The 3,980-nt window shown below is 43.8% G+C and overlaps 1 annotated feature.

Moving 5' to 3' along the window:
- Positions 2,257-3,456: an enhancer, noted in NCBI's record as "CDK7 strongly-dependent group 2 enhancer chrX:8725279-8726478 (GRCh37/hg19 assembly coordinates)". NCBI's record gives its function as "activates an origin of replication core promoter dependent on BRD2, BRD4, P300/CBP, MED14 and CDK7 cofactors, with strong dependence on CDK7, by STARR-seq in HCT116 cells {active_cell/tissue: HCT116}" and the evidence as "EXISTENCE:reporter gene assay evidence [ECO:0000049][PMID:35650434]".

Genomic DNA, 3,980 nt, shown 5'->3' on the forward strand with positions numbered 1-3,980 from the left:
AACAACAACAAATGTAGAATGAAAGTATCATTATGTAAAATACAAAAATAGCGTAAGATATTATTATAAGTAATATTTAATGCTTATTGTTTATTATGTCCCTGTGAGAGCACACATCTCTGTCCATATGCTACTTTCCTTGTATCTGCCCTCACTTTCCCTGGGCTATGCCTTCAAGCTCTGGCCTCAGGCTCTCTTCCAAGCAGGCATCCAGCTGGTTGGGCTAATGGGAGGCAGTGGCAGGTGTCTCCGGGTGTCCGTATCCTTTGTGTATTTCCAGCATCTCTGGATATGCCTGTTTGAGTTTCAGCTTCCACCAGGTGGTGCCACCTTGGGCTTGCTAGTAACTTCCTGCCACCTAGGATCCTACCTCTAGGGGTCTTAGTAGCTTCCGGAGTTTGATCTTTCATCACTTCCTGAATTGCGTTTCCTCTTTTAAATACTCAGAATAGTTTTCCTGGTAGATCTTGAAAGATTTTTATATTTCTTCTGGTTTTTAAGTTGTCTGGAAAGTCAGGTCAGAGATAGCAAATCAACGCAATGGGCATTAAGTTCTTGTCCCACCACATAATAAAACCAAATAATTTTGCAGCTCAATAAGTTCAGCAGAAGTATTCTCATTTTATAGGTTTTCTTCATTATTAGAAGAGAGCTAGCTGCATCATCAATCACCTCGTGTGGACAAGAGCTATAATCTGATGTACAGCATAATAGCAGTTGTATATGGCAAAGTAATTTATCATAAGCTTTTAATGATACAAAGAGGCACATTACATTTATCTCTGTGTCCTTATCATTCAGTTCGATGCCTGGAATTTAACAGTTACCCGATAAATGCTTATTTAATGATGAAAGGAATGGACTGAAAGTATTAAAACATTATACACAGGATGGCTATGTGTTACACATTACAATATAAGATAGTACAAGAATCCTGGCAACCCATGAGCACATGAATGAAGAAAGATATCCCTGGTTTGCAACACAAAAATGCTAAGGATGAAGGTGTGCAGACAGACATGCTGTGAATCATAAGATGGGGGAATTTCCAGGGAGTTCTCAGGATACCTGGGCAGGAAAACCTGCTGTAACCACATCTCTTAGTATTGGCTTCTCAACAGTGTCTTGGAACAGGCAATGGTGATTGATGTTCAAGAGAGACAAAGAAGCACTCAGAACTCAGACCTCTGTGGGGAAGGTCATTCCCATGAGGTTTTGGGCCTACTTCTTAAAGGCCCTGGTGTTTAATGGACAAACAGTGAAACAGATGCAAGACGACAGAGCAGGAACAGAGACAAACTTGGATTATTGTGCCATCTTGCACACAGGACTACAGAACAGAAGACGGAGGACACAGAAGACAAACTTGGATGATTCTATCCTATTGCCCAGGATATAATCAACAGGCTTGAATGAGTAGCCAAGAGAGCCAACATTCAATAATGACCTGTGCTCCATAATTTCATTAGCATACAACTCCATGTGATCTTAAACCTGCCCATTCCAAAGACTGGCATCATAAGTTGCTTGTTGGGCTACCATTGCAAGAGCTTCTGCTGGATCAAAGAGGACCCATGCTGTGTAGCATGGGTTTTTGAGGCACAGATTCCCTCCTCCGGCACTGATCAACTGTTTGTAGGCCAAAAGGCGCCACCATGCCCAGCACCAAATGGGCCACACAGGCAAAGGTTGACCACATTCTGGCCCATGTCATGGTGGGATACCCTGCAATTTCTTCTGGAGCCAGAGGAGATAACCTTTTAAGGAGCAGCTAAAAGACATTTCCCCAACCCCACCTTGGGAAGACAGGCTCTTGGCCACTTCTCTTCCATCTATCTCTCTACTTTGAGGGGAATACAGGCCCTTCTACATCTTGCCCCTTTAGGATACAGCTTCAGGCTTCTGTGTGTCTCTATAAAGCAGCCTGGCTGTAGGTTAGAGGTAGGACCTCAGCAGAGGGGCTACCCCTAGCTCACAGTATCTGTCACCTGGCCCCCCTGGTTTTGTGTTGTCAGGTGGGACTTGAGCCTTGGGGAGCTGGCACCATACTGACTATACTTTTGCTGTCTGTGTAAGTCATACACTCTCAGAATCCATCTTGGCTCATCACCTCCTTATTGACCAAATCCATTAGACAGTGGCAAGCAAAGCTAGCAGGGGCTGCCACACTGCTGCTTAGGGGTTGTATGGCCACTTGGCTTGGTTTCACCTATGCTTCTGCATCCTGCTGTGTTAACTGACCCCAGTGCCTGCAAGGATGCTCTGTTGCCAGGCCAACTTGGGAGGACACGGTTGTACAGAACCTCCTCCCAGTGATGTAGCCACAAGTCCCTTTTGCTGTTCCTAAATGGTTTGTAAACTTTTTCCACATTTCTGTAGGTCAGGGTTCTCCTGTAACCGTAATAAGTCCATTGCCCCATGCATGTGGCAAGTCACTGCCCCGAGACACCAGGTTGCAGCAGAGAAAGAGGTTTAATCATGGGGCTGCCAAATGAGGAGATGAGAGGAAACCTTCAATCCATCTCTCCAAGGAGTTTGGGGCTAGGGGCTTTAAGGATTTTGGAGTGGGCCGAAGCATGGAGATCACTGATTGGTAGAAGAGTGCAGGGTGAAGTCATGGGACAGGGCGATGAAGAAGCTGTGTTCTCACGCTGATTGGGTTCCTCTGTGGGGATCTTCAAACTGGTTGGCCTCAGCTGTTTCACTGGAATTCAGGATCTGCTGAAGCAATTCTTAAACAGAAGCCTCTGATTCTAACATCAGAGATCCTTTCGATAGGAACAACGGAGATGCAAATGGTCAGGATCTAGTGCTATGGGGCTCGTGGTTACAAGGAAGTGGGTGCAAGTGCAGCCTGAGGATTGCTGAATGATGACTCTCTTTCTGTCCGGAATTCTTGGGAACCCTGTGAGGATGGCTTCCTGCCCTGAGTAGCCCCAGAACTCTTGTGGAGCATCCACTAGGAATGTATGAGGTAAAGGGGTTGATTTTATTAGATCCTCATATTGCTCCAGGTTTATGAGTCACTACTTGTCCTCAAATGCAGTCAATACAAAGGTATTTCCTTAAGAAAAAACAGTGGGCTCATCAAGTCAACACCACACTGTATTTCATCAAAGAGAGCCTTCCTTACACATTGACAGCATGTGAACTTCCCCCTGACTCAAAATACCCATAAAGTCCTCTGAGCAAACCCAGAAGCAGGAACACGGTTAAGGAAGGTATTCAGATCTCTCAGTAGAGTATTTTCCTGTGGCCCTGTAAGCCCTTTCCTAGCTATAGCTTTAAAATAAATAAATAAAAGCCCTAGCTTTCTTAGCCAACTGTCACTCTGTCATATGTTTTCAGCTGTGGCTTTTGCCACAATTGAACTCAAATTCATCTTTAATGATAACATTTCTATACTTTTGCAAAGTATAACCCAGATGTGATACATTGAGAATAAAAAGCAGATGTTTTCTTCAGAGCCTGAATATGCTCCTCTCATAAAACATATCTGTTCATAAATGTCTGAGGCTAGATGATGATTTATTGTAGCTGAGCTTTTTGTGCCCCACCAAAAGAAAGCCTAGAAGCAAAGGTGTGGGAGTTTACCAGCTGTCCTGATGGAACAAGAGAGAACCCATTCATGTCTTCATCACTATTTTGCCAAAGGACAGTTTTTCTAATCACGCTATGTTGAGTTTATTGCAAACAAGGTTGTAATTTCCTAGTTCCTCTCTTCAGGATCACAAGTTACTAAGGAAAAAAAGAAATGAAAATTTTAAAACCCTAGGGAGCAACTTTACCCCATCTGTAACTGCAGAATACTTGGAAAGAAAAAAAATGAAGGTTTATTGTACACACGAACGAGGCTGCAATCTGTGAAAGTTGTGAGAATGAAGTGGGGGTGACTAGTGTTAAGAAAATCCTGGCAAACAGAGCCAGGGAAAACCATGGAGACGGTTCACATGCTTGTAGGTCTGATAACAAAAACTATC

The sequence above is a fragment of the Homo sapiens genome, chromosome X (genome assembly GCF_000001405.40).
Source record: "Homo sapiens chromosome X, GRCh38.p14 Primary Assembly".
Taxonomy (NCBI): domain Eukaryota; kingdom Metazoa; phylum Chordata; class Mammalia; order Primates; family Hominidae; genus Homo; species Homo sapiens.